Genomic DNA, 19,554 nt, shown 5'->3' with positions numbered 1-19,554 from the left:
TTCAACAAAGTTCTTGCTTTTCTGAAACATACCCCGGACTCAGAGAAATAAAAAAGTAAACAAGATCTCTATTTATTTTATTAAATGCTGCTAAGGAGATAAACAGAAGAGTGTGCAAAAGAGTGATTGAGGGGGATATTGCCTTTTGAGGTGCAGCGGTCAGCAGAAGTCTTCCAAGAAATTGATAGTGAACTACCCCTGAAGGAAGAGAGTTGATGGGAAGGGTGTTCAAGATAGAAGGAACAGGCCAGATGCGGTGGCTCAGGCCTGTAATCCCAGCACTTTGGGATGCCGAGGCGGGTGGATCACAAGGTCAGGAGAGGGAGACCATCCTGGCCAATATGGTGAAACTCCGATTCTAATAAAAATACAAAAATTAGCTAGGTGTGGTGGTGCATGCCTACAGTCCCAGCTACTCAGGAGGCTGAGGCAGGAGAACCACTTGAACACAGGAGGCAGAGGTTGCAATGAGAGAGAAGGAACAAACAAGATGGAAGTCTAGAGGCCAGAAAGGGCTTAGCAAGGAATAAAGAAGACCAGTGTGGCTGCAGCAGAGTGAGCAAGGGGCAAAGCGTGTGATGAGTATAAAGATGCAGAATACAGGGGCTGTGAAACCCAGCTGGGACTTGTTGGTCATGGAAACAAGCTTGGATTTCAGCAAACTCTAGGTAATATGAAGGCCTTCAAGTTCTGAGTTCAAAATGAACCTTTGTGCTGGGATTTGGAAAGCCATATGCCATTAAAGGGAGAGTCACATCAGAAGTGCCGAAATTATGAGTTTGCATAAGAAAGCAAAGGCATAGCACATTTAAAATACTGATCATTAAAAATCGTCTGCTCTCACACAGCCCTCTCCATTCAACACCATTTCCTGTCTCAACCTATCCAGTCAACATCTTTGTTGGTTTGTCTCATGGCGGTGATTGTATAATGTAAATATCAGACAACACAATGTAAATACAAGGCAAATTCGAAAATTGAATTGCCAAATTTGATGCAGTAGTTCTTGGAGTGCCTCAGAGTTGAAGAATCAAGTTAGCTGTACCCAAAGCCATGGACCAAGGAGGATTAGTTAGGGTTAAACCAAAAGAGAAAATCAATCAGATTTGAGAATATAATTGGGGCTTTAAAGGAGAATGATTTGAATACCAAAGGTTAAGATTAAGAGAATCCCTCAGGAAAATTTATGAAATCTTTGAATAATTTTGAAAAAGAGAGAGGGAGACAGAGAGAGAGAGACTGATGGAGAGACATAGACTTTATGACAATATCACAAAAGTTCAAGGCAAATTGAATTTTCCTATTATAAAATTTTGTCAGAAAATGGAAAAAAACCACGCAATTCTTGTTGTGTATTTTCTAGGACAGCAGAATTTTAACCTAGCCCTGTATTTTGTTAAATAAATAAACTTGTTTTCATAATTGCCAGCTTTGTTTTTCAAGTTAAAGTCCCAAATAACTGTCTTTCACCATTTATTTTGAAAATGTAGTCCCAATTTTTGATGGACTCATATTAAGTCGCAGTTTCCCAGCACCGATTATCTTTGGATAATGAACACCTCTTGTGCTCACAGTTAAGAATGTGCTGCCTCGGCATGTGAAGATGGTGGCCCTGAGTTACTCATCAATTCCTGAATACGTAGTTACATCTCAAAGAGAAAGACGGCTCTTCTGACTGCTTATACCCTCCCCTGGTCCCTCACCATATGTGAGGAGCTGTCTGGGAAAAGAAGAAAGTTGGGTCTAAGACCCACTGGCTTCAGCCAAATGAGTTAATCGACAGTAGTCTAGCCAGCAAAGGAAGACACTTACCCCCAAGAAGAAATATATTTCTGTTAAGCAAGAACTTTCAGAAGCTACATTTACAATTTAATAGTCCCAGGAATTTTCAGATGTCTGGATAATAGTGTGAAGACTTCCCAGATGGAAGATGTATTCTTCTGTTCAGGAATTATAAACATGAAACAAGCACTGGAAATTCTTTCCCACACTGCTTTTGAGAATGTCTGTCTGTGGACACCTCTTCAGAAATTTCTTGAGGCAGGGCCAAGAGCTTAGGACTTTGTAAGCAAGAGAATTAGGGACCATTTCCAGGGTTCTCCTCTTCCTCATTGTATGATCTTGGACAACAGGCTTACCCTCTCATTTATCTCAACTCTGAAGTTGGGCATAGCAATTCAGAGAATTGAGAATTAAGGCGGCAGTACATAGAAAATGCTTGCTACTCTAACCCATTATCACGTGTTCACTAGTAGTAGTAGAACAACAGTACCTAGAAAGAAGTTAGACCTGACAATTCTAAACTCAGTGTCACATTTTGAAAAGTGAAGATATTAAATTGTTCTAAGGATTTTGTTAGCCATGGTAACTTCTTCTCAGCTCATACTGCAAATCATGTAAGGTTCACAGTGCCTTATGTACCAAGCAAAACATTCCAACTTTATTCTGTAGGTTAGGAAAAAAAAAAGCTTTGGAAAATATTTAATTCATAGTTTTTAAAAAATAACTAATTATTATAATAATATTAGCTCACATTTACCAAATGCTTATTTCACAGAAGGCACTGTTCATAGCATTTTCATATAAGAATTCATTTAATCCTCGCACAACCCTATATTATCATTTCTCATTTTACAGATGGGAAGTTGAGATACTGAGAAGTTAAATAGTAGAGCCAAGACTTAAAGTAAGGAAGTACGGCTTCAGACCCAGTGCTTGTAGCCGTTAGTCTATAGTGTTCCACGGAAGTATCATCTTTGTGTTTGCATTTAGAAGGGCCCAAATGGAGACAAGGTTGTGAATTAGGCTGTTGAAAAAGTTCAGAAGAGAGATGATGAAAACATGACCTACTTTCATAGTAGATGTAGCAGAATGCACAATTTCAAAGACCTGAATACAGGCAGAAATTAAACAACACTACTTTGTGTTTGACAGAATCTGGGGGGGTAGGGGGTAGGAGGCTATTTGAAGGGGAGTGATGAAAAGAAAGAAGAATTAGGAGGAATTAGTTTCTGTCTTGGCTGGCCAATTGGCTAAATAGATAAGATTTACAAGGAAGTAGATCTAGAAATAGAAAGGAGGATAAGAAGTTCAGTTATGGACACAAGAGGTTTGAAGTTCTTGAAAACATCCACAGAGAAATGTTAAAGTGTTATTTAAGCCAGAGAGTTGCTAGAAATTCTAAGAAGAAAGCAACAGAGTTTAATATTTAAAAAAAATTAAGCAAATCCACAGAATGGGAGAAAATATTTGTAAATTTTAAATCTGAGAAGGGACTTATATATAGGATATATAAAGAACTGCTACAACTCAACAATAAAAAGAAAAATAGCCCTTTTTTTAAAGTGGGCAATGAGTCTGAACAGACTTTTCTCCAAAGGAAATATACAATGGCCAATGAGCACATGAAAAAAAGGTGCTCAGTGTCATTAGCCATTAGGGAAATGTGAATCAAAACCGCAATAAAATACCACTTGATACCTCCTAGGATGGCTATAATAAAAAGGATATAGATAATAACAAGTAACAGCAAGGATGTGAAGAAATTGGAATACTCATACAGTGCTAGTGGGAATGAAAAATGGTGCAGCCAGTTTGAAAAACAGTTTGGCAGTTTCTCAAAATGTTAAATATGGTGTTGCCATATGATCTTACAATTCTATTCCTAAGTATCTGCCCAAGAGAAATGAAAGCATGTCTGCACAAAAACTTGTACACAAATGTTCATAGCAGCATTGTTCATAATAGTCAAAAAGCAGCAACTCAAATTTCTATGAACTGATGGATAAATGGATAAATGTGGTTGAGTCACACAATAGAATATTATTCAGCAATAAAAAAGGAAAGAAGTACTGTTACATGCTTCAACATGAATGAACCTTGGAAACATTATGCTAGGTGAAAGATGCCAGACATGAAAGACTACATTTATATAAAATGTTCAGAACAGACAAATCTATAGAGGCAAGAAGTTGATTAGTGGCTGTCTAGGGCTGGGGATTGGGAGTGGAGAGGAGGAGGGAAATGGGAGTGACTGCTAATGGATATGGGGTTTCTTTTTGGGAACATACAACAACTATTGAACTGTACACTTTAAATGAGTGAATTGTGTGGTATGTGAATTATATCTCAATAAAGCTATTTTCAAAAATTAATCAGGTACAATAATATAACTAAATACAGCAGTCTATATCTATAAATTATGGTGTTTAGACTGCGAAGTTTAGGCCGGGTGCGGTGGCTCATGCCTATAATCCCAGCATCTTGGGAGGCCGAGGTGGGTGGATCACCTGAGGGCAGGAGTTTGAGACCAGACTAGGCAGCATGGTGAAACCCCGTCTCTACTAAAAATACAAAAATTTGCCAGGCATGGTGGTGCACGCCTGTAGTCCCAGCTACTCGGGAGGTTGAGGCAGAAGAATCACTTGAACCCAGGAGGTGGAGGTTGCAGTGAGCCGAGATTGTGCCACTGCACTCCAGCCTGGGCAACGGAACAAAGCTCCATCTCAAAAAAAAAAAAAAAAAAAAGGACTGGGAAGTTTAACTGACACAACAGGAGCAAATTTTATTCTGTCTTTTTTTCCCCCTTTCTCTATTATTACTTACTAATAATATTTTCAGCAGTGGATTCACTAAATTCCTCTCTCCTTTTTTTCCAAATGAATTCTTTAAAAGACTCCTGAGTGATATATAAGATTACAGAAAAACTCCAACTCTCATAAGTTACACCCAACCAGCAAGCAAATGAATCAAATTAATCTTAAACTGGCAATTTCAGATATTTACAAAGTCTGTCTTTTAATTCCTACTGTGTTTGAAAGTGGCATTCTGAAGGACATACTGAGTCATGATTGCATAATGGGCCCAAGCATTAAGTTACTGGTAACTGGAAAGGATTCAACTCAAATTAATTCTAAACCCATAATCTTATGAGTTTACAAACAAAGCCTGCACTTTAATTCTGGTGGGTTTAGAAGTTTTCTTCCAAAACCTTGTCCTTTCAAGAATAACAGCACCTATCACCTCCCCACGCCAGATGGTTTTCCATCATCAGATCTTGGAATAATTTCATTCTTTCTAAAACCAAAAAGCAGTCCTAGTTCCAAACTGCAGTTCATTAGGAGAGTTCCATGGTGTTTGTCAGGCCTCGTGCCACATGCTTTCACCAAAACGGTTTTCATACATGTCCATGGGGCAATGGTCTGCATCCACTTAAGATGCCTACCATGTGGTTGGGAATTTGTATTGCTGATCTGGAAAGGGGCAGTGTGAGGCTCAGGCCTTGCTGCTCAGACTGGAGTCTGTGGGCAACACGGAGGGGATGCACGAGAGCTGGTTCTGCAGGAGTTCTGGGAGGGTAAGATGAGTCAGAACATGGCTACAAGCTAAGGTCTTGAGGCTTTTTTTTTTTTTTTTTTTTTTTTTTTTAACAGAGTCTCACTCTTTTACCCAGGCTGGAGTGCAGTAAGGCGATCTTGGCTCACGGCAACCTCTGTGCCCCAGGTTCAAGCAATTCTCCTGCCTCAGCCTCCCGAGTAGCTGGGACTACAGGCATGCATCACCACACCTGGCTAATTTTTTGTATTTTTGGTAGAGATGGAGGTCTCACTATGTTAACCAGGCTGGTCTCAAACTCCTGACCTCAAGCAATCTGCCCGCTTAGGCCTCCCAAAGTGCTGGGATTACAGGAGTAAGCCACCACGCCCAGGGGACTTTGAGCTTTATTTGGTAGACACAGGGAGCCCTTTGAGGTTTTTAATAGGAACACGAGATACTCTAAGATGTCTATGAGTGAAATGTATTTCTATCGTATAGCATCCATACCTCGGCCGCAAATAATGGATTGTGTTAGCGAGTGCTTCCTGTGTGCCAGACACCAGCTTTACACTTGACCTACATTCCATCCTTTACTCTTTACAATCATCCTGTTGTGAGGCCTTCTGTTATCCCTGCTTATAGGTGAGAAGACAGCAGGATTTCAGGTAGGTTAAGGAATTGAGCCAAAGCTACATGGTTTATAAATCACAAAGCCAGGACTCAAATTCCCATCTATCTAACTTAAAGATTTATTCCTACCTCTGAGGGCTGGGTGGCTCTGGAGGCTGTCCCTCCAGTGAGGGGTGATAAAAGCTTGAAGGAGATGGAGGTGGGGGGATGGTAAGCAAGGGGCGGGTGGTTGGCTGAAGATCTTTCTGTCCCAGCCACTGTGTGAGCCACAGGAATACAGAAGCAAGGGTCTTCCCCTCACCTCAAGGGACTTCCTCTCTAGCATAGTCAGGCAACATCAGTGCTGCATTCACTGCACTGGAGAGATGACACCGGTTGGAAGGGCAGGGCTCTGAGTTCCTGCTGCAAAGTCGGTGTTGGAGGTGAGTAAGGTGCTGGGTTTTGAAATGAGGCCAACTGCTTCACACCCTGCCCGGCCATTAAGTTGGCCACTGGGAACAGTCAGAATGTTTAGTGACATCCTCGATACATTAGAAGCACATAACCAACATCACTTCCTGTTATTCTTGTTCCTCCTGTAACCATTATTCCTTCCAGGCCTGGGCAGATTTTCTTTTCCTTCGTGCTAATCCAGGGCTGTCCTTCCAAATGTTCAGATTTACTGGATCCGGAAGGCTCTTAGGAAAGAGCCTTCATTTCACACAAAACGTTGATGACTTTGCAGAAGGTGTTTTGGATGTTTTCTTTTGCTGAGCCCCAGTGGCGTGTGTTGTATAGACAGGTTAAAGCGAGAGTCAAGGAGTATTTCTGGCTGGACACAATGGCTCACGCCTATAATCCCAGCACTTTGGGAGGCTGAGGTGGGAGGATCACTTGAGCCCAGGAGTTTGAAACCAATCTGAGCAACATAGCAAAATGCTGTCTCTACAAAAAATACAAAAATTAGCCTGGCCTGGTGGTGTGTGCCTGTCATCCCAGCTACTTGGGAGGCTGAGGTGGGAGGATCACTTGAATCCAGGATGTTGAGGCTGCAGTGAGCTGAGATCACACCACGGCACTCCAGCCTAGGTGACAGGGCAAGACTTTGTCTCAAAAAAAAAAAAAGGAATATTTCCAAGAAAGGAATGAACAGGTCAGGCAAAGGCAATCAATGGAGGATCCTGAGATGGTGTAGATAAAACCAGGAAAGAAGGAAATGGCGTGCGTGCCTTGCGTCCACACTTACATGCTTGATGAGCTTGATAGCGGAGCACAGACAGTGGGCAACTGAGTGTAGAGGTTACCAAGACAAAGAGAAGGATATGAACACTGCTCTGCTGCTGACTGGCTGCGGGACCTCGGGCCCCAGACTTCATCTCCACACGCCTTAACTTTCTCTTCAGTAAAATGGAAACAATATCAACCTCACAGGGACCTTTTGAGGCTAAATTAAATGTTGGCCTGGCGCCTGGAATATGATAAATGTGTAACAAATGGAAATGACCAAATAAACTATTTTGAATGCAAGCCCTGGAATTTCTCAGTAATGATGTAGGTATTGATAGCCTTGCTTTGCAAACAAGGAAACTGGGGCTGTAGAGGTTAAGCTTCTTGTGTAAAATGAGGATGTTTATACTTGCTTCATAGTGGCAGCTGTTGTGACAATTACTTATTCACAGACATGTAGTGAGTACCGGGGCACAAGAGTGAATAAAGACCAAACTTCTGTTTTGTTTTGTTTTGTTTTGTTATAGAACTTATATTCTCATTGTCAAAGACAGATGATGAAGACAGGACAAGGCAGGTAATGGTAAGTGCTCCAGTGAAAATAAAATCATGTGCTAGGAAGAAACTGGGGGAATACTCAGCTTTGGTGGCCAAGAAAGTTGTTTTTTTACGAGGTGACATATCAGTTGAGACCTGAACAGCAAAAGGTGCCATCCAGGAGGAGGCCCTGGGGAAGAGCATTCCAGGCAGAGGAACAGCCAGTGCCAAGGCCCTGGGGTAGGAACAAGGCTGGCGTGTTGAAGGCTGGAACGAAGCCCTCTGCAGATGAAGGGCGGTGGTTGCTGGGGGGTTGGACAGGAAGGCAGGAGAAGAGCCTATAGATTTTCAAAGTCCAGGGAAAGAGCTTGGATTTTTTTTTTTTCTTAAGTACAATGGGAAGGTTTGTTTTAAAGTTTGTTTTCTCAGAATTTTATTATGAAAAATTCTCAAATATAAAAAAGAATTGAAAGAATTTTACAATTGAACTTCCATATATTTATCACCTAAATTCACAACTAACATTTGACTGAATTTTCTTGATCATATACCTAGCCATTTCACTCACCCATTGAGAAATCTTATGTTTTTTCCTCTTTTCAAAGTAAGTTGGAAGACGAGCCAAGTGACACAGCACACCTGTTATTCATAAGGAAGATGAATTCAGGGACAGGGTGGGGCAGTGAGGAGCAGCCCAGAGACCCTTGATCAGGCTGCTGGAGTTGGGGGGAATCTCATGGCTTCTACTAAGGCTAGTGGTGGGGATAGAACGTAGCAGAAAAATTCTGAATGTGTCCTGGAGGTATAGTCAGTAGGACTTTCTGGGAGTTTGGACATGGGGTGAGTAAGAGAGGAGTCAAAGGTGGTTCATAATCATTTGGCTTATGCTACGGGGTGATGGTGCTGGGGCTGGTGAGGCTGTTTACTGAGATGAGAAAACAGGGAGAAGCTGAATAGAAGGAGAAAATACAGAAAATAGGGGCGTGTTAAGATTGAGACACCTCTAACCTCTAGTACATGCATGTGGGTAAGTAAAGTAACAGCAGGATCTATGAGTCTGGAGCTTAGTGGAGGAGTTTGGCTGCAGTGGTGAACTTGGGAGTCATCAGCACATAGGTGACTTTTCAAGCTGGAGGACTGAAAGAGATGACTTAGGGAGGGAGGGCAGTGGAGAGAGAAGGGGTCTCAGGAACAAGTGCTAGGGCATGCAAAGATGGAAGAAGGTGGGGAGAGGAGGAATCACCAGCTAGGAGGAAGAAGGAGCACCCATGAGGGAATAGGAAACCGAGGGAGCCAGGGGTCCAGGAGAGCTAAGAGAATGGGTTTCAAGAACTCATGGTTGGGTGAATCAGTAAGATGAGAATGGGAGGGCAAACATCTGACTCGGCCTCAAGAAGGCTCCTGCTGGCCTCAAGAAGAGCCCTCTTATGGTGGGGAAGGAATCCACCCTGGCATCTGTTTGAGGAAAGAATGTCACTAGAAAGCATAATCCAGGAGCACTGGAGAGTAACTGAAGGAGTTTTACTGTGCAGGACAGGAGGAAAAGTGAGTGATGTTCAGAGAGGTGACTCGAGAGAGAAGGTCTTTTAAAATAAAAGTATTAAGGATTGCCTGTGTGCTTGGGAATGATCCCGTAGAGGGGAAAGGACTACTGATGCAAGAGAGGGAGGTATCAACTCTATAAAGTCGGGAGCAAAGTCCTTGAGGAGGTGAGAGAGGGGCAGGAGGGGGCACATGCAGAAGGACTGCTTTTGACAGCACAGGGACACTGCATGAGGGCATCAGAGGAGGGGACTGAGAGAGGGAGTACAGATGAGGCAGGTCAGTAGGTTTTGTGGGAAGATGGAGGCACCCCTTTGTGATGCTGGTGAAGCTACAAGTGCATGCACTGAAGAGATGGGGTCATGCGCTGAAGAGGTGGAGAGGGAAGGTATGAGGTAGGTGTTTTGGAGATCAAGAAAGTGACATACAGTGGAAGTGGAGTGAGAGCATCCGGTCGTGGGTAGTGCCCATTTGAAACAGATGTACCGTCACGAATTCAAATGTGACTGGTGAGCTCGTTGGGTGTTTTGCTCCAACCATGTTTAGCTGCTTGGAGGGAGGCAGAGAGTAAACAAAAATCTGCCTTTAACCAGAAGTTGAGGTTTAGTCAGCTGGGTGTGATTAAGGGTGGAAGGGAGTTTGTGCATGATTTTAATATTGTAAGGATGAGCAGTGGAAGAGGCAGTGCCATGGGATCCCAGTCCACAAGTGGCTAAGCACAAGGGAGGGTTGAGCAGGCATAGTTGGGTGTCGCTTCTTTAGGCTATTAGCACCTGTGCTGGCCAAACCAGGTGTGAGGGGATCACTGGTTTGACCTTTTCACATCACCACCCTGGCAAACGAACAGACACTGCAGCCACTTAGAAATCTACCCAAATTATGCTGCCCAAGTAACTACAGCAAGGAAGCTCCTTTCCCCTCTACAGCTAAGACAGGTGGAAAGGATCGATCTAGCCCAAACCAGACTCCATTTCACTGAACAGCAGGAAAGAGGTGGCATTCTTTTTAAGGTCGCGGAAGCTTCCTAGATCTCTACCTGACACACTCAGCCCAGCCTTGAGTTAAAGAAGTCAGTACCCCACTCAGAATCCAGTTAGTAAACTGAGTAAGTGGGCAGAGGGCTCCTCAAGAGTTATGTACTCTCTGAAGAAAACTACGGAATGCACATATCCTAGCGGCAGGAGGGCTGGAACATCATTTGGCCTTTGAAGGTGGCAACACTATTTTTTAATTGACAGTTTTGTAAGGAGCTAGTTGGATTGAGGCATCATTTATTTATGTACTTCTTGTCCAAAATGCAAATTAATCTGGCTCAGCAGGAAGGAATAGTGGTAGTATAAGCATGGTATGAGACGCAGTTGTTCAGAGCAAGGGCTGCTAGAATAGGTTCAGCCTTTTGACTTCCAACAAGTCGCTTATCCTCTGCGTACCTTGGCACCCTTTGTGAAATGGAGAGAATTGTAGCGTCTGTCTCAAAGACTTGTGATGATTATGTGTGTTAAGTACTTAGCACTGTGTTTAGCACATATTAAGCTCTGTGCTTAATAGTATTGTTTCTTCAACCTCCTCCCACTCCTCATTATTATTATCATTATAACTATTATTTTGACTACCATTGAATTGTTAGTACGTTAATATCAAAGTAACTCTGATACAAACGCAGTTCACTGATGCACAGGCATGATCACTCTAGGGAACAGACATACTGACTGAGGGGACTGATCTTCCTGAATGGGGTTTAGGAAGGTTTCTGAGTGTGTAGAGAGAAGAGAAGACAATTCTTAAAGAAGGGCTCTTGCTAATGAAAGGTATTATGAACTGAATATAGCCTCTCCTTCAATTTATATGTTGAAGCCCTAATCCCCCATGTGTATTAGAGATTGGGCATTCAAGGAAGTGATTAAAGTGAAGTGAGGTCTTAAGTTCGGAGCCCTGATCTGATAGAACTGAGCTGAAAGTGGCCTTATACAGGAGCAAGAGACACTAGATGTGGCTTGCTCTCTCCACCATATGAGGATAACATGAGAAGGTGGCCATGTGCAAACCAGGAAGAGAGCCCTCACCAGAAACGGACACTGTTGGACCTGAACCTGGAGCTTCTTGCCTCCAGAAGTGTGAGAAACACAGCTACTGTTTAAGCCACCCAGTTTATGGCATTTTGTTGTAGCAGCCCCAGGAGAATAATCCAGGGCTCCCCTCAGTGCCCGTCGCAGGTACTCCGCACCCTCACAAGATGGGTGACCAAATAAGGAAAGGAAGCATGTGGCTATGTTGTGTAAATGACATGTTGGCACTGGAAGAGAGCACTTGCAGATTATAGCCTTTAATATGTCTTAACTGGGTCTACATTATTAATTGAGTTAATTAATCCCCATCACCCTTACTGACCTGTCACGTTTTGAGAGAGGTGAATTAAGGTCTCCCCGTGCTGTGATCTTTATAACCTGCTGTATTCCCTATACTTATGCTTTAGACATTTTGATGGCTTCCTTTGCTAATAAGATGTGTCCATTTTGCTGTTTTTGCCTTGAATACAACCTTGTATATTTTTAACATTATGCACCAGCCTTCTTCTCTCTAGCTCTCTCTCTTTCTCACACTCTCTTTCATTTTCCTGGCATGTTTTTTGGTTGCAGAAATAAGAGCTTTCTGGCATAGCTCCCTGCAGCTGAGGATCATCACGATACACTTTAAGCATGTACTTTATGCCACAAAGAGCACAGGTAACCTGAGGAGGTATCTTGGCTCCAGATGCACCAGCTGTGCAACCTTTTCCAGTTACTGAACCCCTTAGCTTCAATTTTGTTTTGTTTGTTTTGAATCTGCGAAATGGAGCAATGTCTGTGTCACAAGTTCACTGTGAGAACTTGTGTGATCACAGATGTAGAGCCCCAGTTTAGTGGTCAATAGTAGCGACTGGTATTGTGTGGTCTTGAGAAAATACCTACCCATCTAGGAAGCACGCATGCCTTTATTGTCAGAAATGTTATTTTACCTAATTCATTCGCACATATACATTATTTTTACCTATCATCCATCATTAAATAAATTAAGAAAATGTGGGAAATTTGAAATTATATGTCAAATTGGGCATACTAATGATAAGAAAAAATAATTACTTTAAAGAATTCAACAGTTTATAAAATGAAAAGAGACAAATGTTTTGTCCAGTATCGATTGTGTCATGAATGAACTGAGAACTTTGTAAGTAAAGTGTATTTCCTCCGCACCTCCCACTGCCTTTTCAACTCTAATTTAATCTCTCCTCCACCTCCTACCTATTAAACTCTTACTGCACTGAGACTGTTAGCAAACCCAGGGACAGGTTTCATTCAGTAGACTGAGGGCGAGGCTTAGAAATGGAACAGCCCAGGCTGGGCGCAGTGGCTCATGCCTGTAATTCCAACACTTTGGGAGGCCGAGGCAGGTGGATGACCTTAGGTCAGGAGTTTGAGACCAGCCTGGCCAACATGGTGAAACTCTTCTCTACTAAAAATACAAAAATTAGCCAGGCATGGTGGCACATGCCTGTTATCCTAGTTACTTGGGAGGCTGAGGCAGGAGAATCGCTTGAACCCGGGATGGGGAGGTTGCAGTGAGCCGAGACTGTGCCATTGCACTCTAGCCTGGACAACAAGAGTGAAACTCTGTCAAAAAAAAAAAAAAGAAAAAAAAGAAAAGAAAAAAGAAAAAAGAAATGGAATAGCCTAGACTTCATCACTGTGCAATATAGTCATGTAACAAAACTGTACTCATATCCCCTACATTTATACAAAAAAAGAGAAATATATATTCTTAGAAGGTTCTTCAAATGTTCTTGAAACCCCTGAAATTTTGATGCAAAGTGTGATGTGTCTCATATCTCTGGGAAGCTGTAGCTTTCTTTAGATTCTCAAAGGGGTTTTTCTCCCCAAAAAAGTTAAGAACACTTGTTATAGGCCATTGGTTCTCTAATTTTACAGCAACTTTAGTAGTATTAAAGCAGAAGAGAGGAAGGGAATTCAGTATAGCATAAAATGATATAGTAGCTTTGTTTTTAAAAAATTGGTCCAAATACCTGTAATTGGATATATATATGTGTGTGTGTGTATCTGTGTATAGTGATATTGTTTCTAAGTAATTTGGTAGTAGTAGTATTACCAGAATGAGTATGAGGTATTAAAATAATAGTAAAAATGATTAAAATAGTACCAGCTAAAATTATTGAACTTACTGTATACCACATCCTGATACCTTGTGCAACTAGAACTACTACCCAATTTAGATATATTGTTCAATTTAAACCTCAGAACAACTGTAAGATGAGTTCCTTATTAACCCCATTATACAGATGAGAAAACTGAGGGTTAAATCTACCAGATATTTTGACAAAATCACTCAAGGAGTAAGTCGTGAAGCCGTGACTCTAACAAGACTTTGCATTATATAATATTCATTCTATGCTTTTTGGCAGTGTCAGAGTAGTATGTTGAACATGACATACTGTAGTATAACAACACTAAAACTAAAAATAATACTAATACGAACTAAAATAACACCAAAATTATTAACAGATCCATTGTTATTGCTACAAGGAAAGGTGCACATTATATTTTAGTACATATTGTCTAGCAGCAAACAGATGATGAATGATTACAATATAGTTAGCTCCATTAATATAATTGTTGCCATCCGTTTTGGAGATCTCAATTTATTATGGCATCATTGTTGTGTCTAAAATTATAAAAATAAAATAAAATGTTGTTCACATCACTCTTTACCCTGGCAAAGGTGGAGCATTATAATATTCCTGCTAATAATGCAAACAATGTAGATCACTAAGCACAGCACACTATTCGTGTATTATTGCACTCTGTCTATAAGCATTATATTTTTTGCACCATATTAAGGTAAAAAATGACATGTTTGATGACGAATACAGACAGCAGAGCCTACAATACTGGTATAAATCTATAAATTATAAATATTGGGACTCTCATGTGTATTCAATTAGAAACTAAACTAAAATGCATTATCATTTCAGTATATATTGGAATAGTACCAATTCAGTACATACTTGAGTAGTATCTCTCTTCAGAAAATACTTGTTATGTAAGTATTAGCATGGCTGTGTTAGCGTTTTTGCTAAAATTATAGATATGACACACTGGTTATTATATTGGCAGAACTGCTTCCATTTTGAAAGTAAGTATGACATGGCTTAGTAGTAATATCATCACAAATGCTAACATCATAGGACCATCATATAGAATGGTATAGCAAAAGGATTACTTCTACTATCAGAGATGGCATAGAACCTGAGTGATTCCTGTGTGTCTGGCCATTTGCATGTAAAAATGGAGAAGTCTCAGTCCAAAGTTCTACTTTTGAGGAGTAGTGATGCTTCCTTATTTCCCTGTAAGCTGCAGTCACAAAGGTGGTTTCTCAGATCCAACATACACTGAGTATAGACCAGTGGGCTCCATATCTGCACTTTTGTTGTTGCTACTAAAACTACAGGTGGCATTAGCACAGCAGCTGTATTGTTCTCATAACTTGAAGTAAGGTAGGATTATGTACAAGGGAGGGTGGTGTTAGTGTTTAAAATGTATATGGAATATAATAATGCTATTGCTGTAGAAATAGATGCTAGAATGGCATTGGGGCACTGTGTTGTGGATTAGCAATATTGCCGATCTTTCTGCTAAAACAGTATATGGAATAATAATACACTAGTAATGATGGTACAGATTGAGTATTCCCTGTCAGAAATGCTTAGGACCATGAGTGTTTCAGATTTCACATTTTTAAAAAAATTTTGGAATATTTACATTACACTTACCAGTTCAACATCCCTACTCCAAAAATCCAAAACCTGAAATGCTCCGATGAGGACTTCCTTTGAGCATCATGACCACACTCAAAAATTTTCAGATTTTGGAGTTTGGATTTTTGGATTTGGGATGCTTAATCTGGACCAGTATTACAGACACTACACTTCAATACGGCTGAATGGAATTGCTGTTTCCTGAGTCTTGATGACAGCATGTGGCATGAAAAGAAAGTGATGTGGAGAAAGTTGACAGGTGGCTAAGTGAATAGAACACATGCTCTGGGACCATTAGGCTGGCTTCAAATTCTGGCTTTGTCCATCACCGCCTCTGTGACTTGGTCAAGGAGTACAACCTCTCTGAACCTTAGGCCTATAATCTGCAACGCTTGTCTTCTCACGGCTTGAGCCAGCTTTGACTGTGAGGAATTATGTGACATAATGACTGTGAAGTGCTTTCCACAGTCAGCACTCAACAAATGTCCCCATCTCTGCCCCACAGTGATTGCTACAGCTTGAAGATTATGTGGTGGCATAACTAAATAGCATGTTCAAGGACAATATCGAATCGTTTATAAATATAACGACAATATGACTATAATTTAGGACTCTTCTTGATGCTCTGGCTAGTAGGGGCATATCACGCCATGGGTGACAGTATTTTATTTGAAAGATGCCACTCAAATATTTCTCTCTCTTTACTAATTTATTGCTAACCATTTGGAGCTAGGATAATTAAAATATGGGTTGTTTAGTATAGGATCTTGCGGTAGAATTTTTATTAACAAGATTTTGACAACCTAACATAGTCAGGATATAGCAGTAATAGTACGCACAATGCTACGGTTTAGGACCACATCTTACAGCATAGCCTAAAGAAAGTAACTGCTTTGAGGTGGCCAATGCTGGCAGAAACAATGTGATTTTATGCTTCACTTTATTATATATAATTGTGGGAACAGAAATAAGATATCGTACTGAACTGCATTATGTCAACCTATACTTTTTGCCCTACAATTCAAGTAGCAGTAACACTAGCACACTATGTGAATTATGCTGTTTATGTTAATAGTTATATGAATATGTCATTAGATTATACTAGGGTGCTTCCAGCGTTTGAAATAATGCTACTTTGTGTGATGTTAAAGTAAAAATTATAGTCACATTTGTAATATAGTATTTCCAATATCCATAGGACTGACATTATTCTAGTGTACACATCTGTAATGTTGCAAGGATGTTCCTAACTCATCATATTATGAGAGCTTCAAAAATTGGCAGCAGCGATATTCTAAATTAGGAGACTGACAGATTAGGCCTCACATATCAAATCTGTCCTGCTGCTTCTTTTGTATAGCTCACAGTATAACAGTGGTGTTTACATTTTTGAACGCTTGCAAAAAAAAAAAAAAAAAAAACCTCAAAGGAGTAATATTTTTGGCATATAAAATATATGAAATTTGAATTTCAGTGTCCTTAATGTCCTTAAATATAGTTTTATTAGAACATAGCTGCTTTGGAGCTGTAATGGCAGAGTTAAACAGCTGCATCAGAGACAATAAGGCCCACCAAGTCTAAGCCAATTACTCTGGCTCTTTAAGAAAAATGTTTGCTGATCCCTGGTTTAAACAACACTACATTGCCTGTAATGTGCATATGAGTGGAAAGTATTGTATTTTGAAAGCAGTAAAGATGAAGCCATCATGTCGTATTACCATATGCTGTTTCTAATCATAGGCAGCAGAAGTATCGCTATAATCTACTATTGTATGTTGCCTTTACAGTGTCCGAATGCTGCTGAATTATAATATCCTAAACTAGAAAGTATTGCTATCTTGACTTACTACCTAGAAGAGGGAACCGGTGTCTGATACAAGACAGGACTATGGTATCCAGCTGCATATTGTTACGGTTAAGGGTAAAAAGTGTGGAGTAAGGCCTTGTTTCTTACTGGCCCTAGTAACTCTGGGTAACTTGCTTGTTGAGACTTAGTGCATCATTTGGTGGTCCCAAGATTTACATGAAATGTTGTAAAGGGCTCTGTGTGGTACCTTGCAAACAGAAGGTTTTGATAAATAATATCATGTGGGTGGTTTATTCATTCAGCAAATGCTTTCTGGGTGTCACTGAAGTTGGGGAGTTACTCCAAGCATTGAGGATACAACAGTCAACACAGATGAGTCCCTGCCACATAGGATATGAAGAGGGGACTCTGGCAGTAAATGAGAAAATGACACATTCTAGTGAGTACCATGGTGTGAACGAAACAGTAGGTAGTGAGAGAGCATTCCTGGGTGTTCGGTGGAAAACTGCTGAGGCCTGGATGACAAGGAGGCCACCACCTGAATAGTTTAAGATACAATGTAGCTAGATTGCTATTTTATTGAATCTGTAGTTTACTCTCTTACACTATGGAAGAGATTCCCAGCATTGGTACAGTCAACCTCCATAATTTAGATGCCAATAGGGATACCGAAGGTTAATGGCATCATTAAATTGTAAAGACAAAATCCCTAATAATCCTTAAGGATTAGAATAGGGTTCCTCAACTTTGGCACTGTTGAAACATTTGGCCAAACAATTCTTTGTTGTCGGGGGCTGTCCTGGGCTTTGTAGGATGGTAGCAGCATCCCTGGTCTCTATCCACTAGATGCCAGTAGCACTGCCCCTTCCCCCACAGTGTATCTTCTGCCATTGCCAAATGACCCCTCTGGGGCAAAGTCGTCTCGGTCTGTAACCACTGGATTAAGGGAAACGATGCCTGCAAAGCCCCCAGTAGGAATTTTGGTCACTACCAGCGGCGTGTGTGTGACGAAGTCCTATTAGTAGAAATGCCCCCAGCTGACTCTCCAGCAAATATGTGCCAATTAGAGACATCTTTGCAAAGCTTCCAAATTGCAGACACTGCAAATGGCCCTCAGGGGTCTGTTAAATTATTATGACCTCTGATACTGATAGTAATAAAGCTGTGCTCTTTCTGCCTGTAATTTTAATATTTTACTAAACTACAGAGTCTCCTATAACAAGAGCTATATTATTATCCTCTACAGTGCTGTACTGTTCATAATTTAAATAATAATGTACATTTCCTCATCCTAAATTACTTCACACATTAAATAGTAGTTTTTACCGACACCATTACAATCCTATTTTAGTGTGCTACATTATTCTAATTCTGTGTTCCCTTCAATACTGCTCCTAAAAGGACGGCACATGGAGCCGGCCAGTCTTTAATTTTAGGACACATGGAGGTATCATTGCATTGTCTTGTCTATGCTGCATTTTAGTATTCTACCCTCAATAAATATTGCAATTGTTCTATTATAATTTTATGAATTTTACCTAGTATATACATACAATGAATTTTATAATTATACAAGTATATACATGCATATATGAAATAGTTCTATATTTTAGGAAGAACGTTGCTACACTATGATTAGCTATAGATACCTTCTGAATCTGTTACAAATTATATTGAATGTCACAGCCTATAACTTTAGTAACTAATTGTGCTATATAATGCTCTATTAAACTATATCACATTAATTAGTCATAAACTGTACATTTTAGTAAAATGTTCTCTGATAAGTTACCTTTGGATATGTTTGGTATCAATCATATTAATATTGCATACAGAAATCTCCTACTGCAAATTTTAGAAAGACAACATACTCTAGAATATCCTAAAGAGAGGGAAGAAACTATGAAATACTTGTTGGGGACAGTGGGATAGAAGTCGACTCAGGAAAGAATATGTCAGGCTGCTTACTGCTCTGCCCAGGTATGCTAGGCAGCCCAGATGTGCTCAGCAGCTCGGGTAGCCATAGAATGTTATGTGACTTGTGTATTCTAAGTGAGATACGGGGAGAAATGAAGACAGGGGAGGGCTGCTGGGCAGCAGACAGTGGCCTGGAAGTGGGAGGACAGGAATAGCAGCCGCACTCAGGGAGGTGAGTTGGCAGGCTGGTATTAGAGAGCAGGGAGTGGAGGCCAAGCAGTTTGGAGAGATGGCAATAAGATCAGTGGGTAGGAGACGCGGAGATGTTGTAGTACAAAGTTATTGGCAATTCATTCATCCATTCGAAGTACTTGATTGGCTGAGTGCCCTGACTCGGAAGCAAAATTGCCTGGCTTCTAATCCCAACTCTGCTCTTTTCCAACCATGTGACCTTTGGGAGCATGACTTTTCCCCTTGTGCCTCCATTTCTCCATGTGTATAATGATGATCAGAATCACACCTACTTCCTAGGTGTGCTGTGAAAATCCCACGAGTTAAACATGGAAGTCACTTCAAATAACACCAGGCAGAGAGAGTCAGATCACAGTAAACAGTAGGTGCTAGCTTTGTCACTGTTATTGGTGGTTTTAGTTGTATTATAGGCCAGGCACTGTTCTGGGAGCTGGAGATGAAGTCACGAACGATAGAGGAGTCCTTGACCTATGGAGCTGGAATACAGTAGGTGAAACTGAAAATAAAATGATTCCAGATACTGATGTAAAGGAAAAGTAAA

At 40.8% G+C, this 19,554-nt stretch overlaps 1 annotated feature.

The window, feature by feature from the left end:
- Positions 17,248-17,492: a silencer, noted in NCBI's record as "fragment chr3:55113410-55113654 (GRCh37/hg19 assembly coordinates)". NCBI's record gives its function as "represses an EF-1alpha promoter that drives an FKBP-Casp9 reporter gene in an ReSE screen in HepG2 liver carcinoma cells {active_cell/tissue: HepG2}" and the evidence as "EXISTENCE:reporter gene assay evidence [ECO:0000049][PMID:32094911]".

This window comes from Homo sapiens, chromosome 3 (genome assembly GCF_000001405.40).
Source record: "Homo sapiens chromosome 3, GRCh38.p14 Primary Assembly".
Classification (NCBI taxonomy): domain Eukaryota; kingdom Metazoa; phylum Chordata; class Mammalia; order Primates; family Hominidae; genus Homo; species Homo sapiens.
This window is presented reverse-complemented; position numbering and strand designations above follow the sequence as displayed.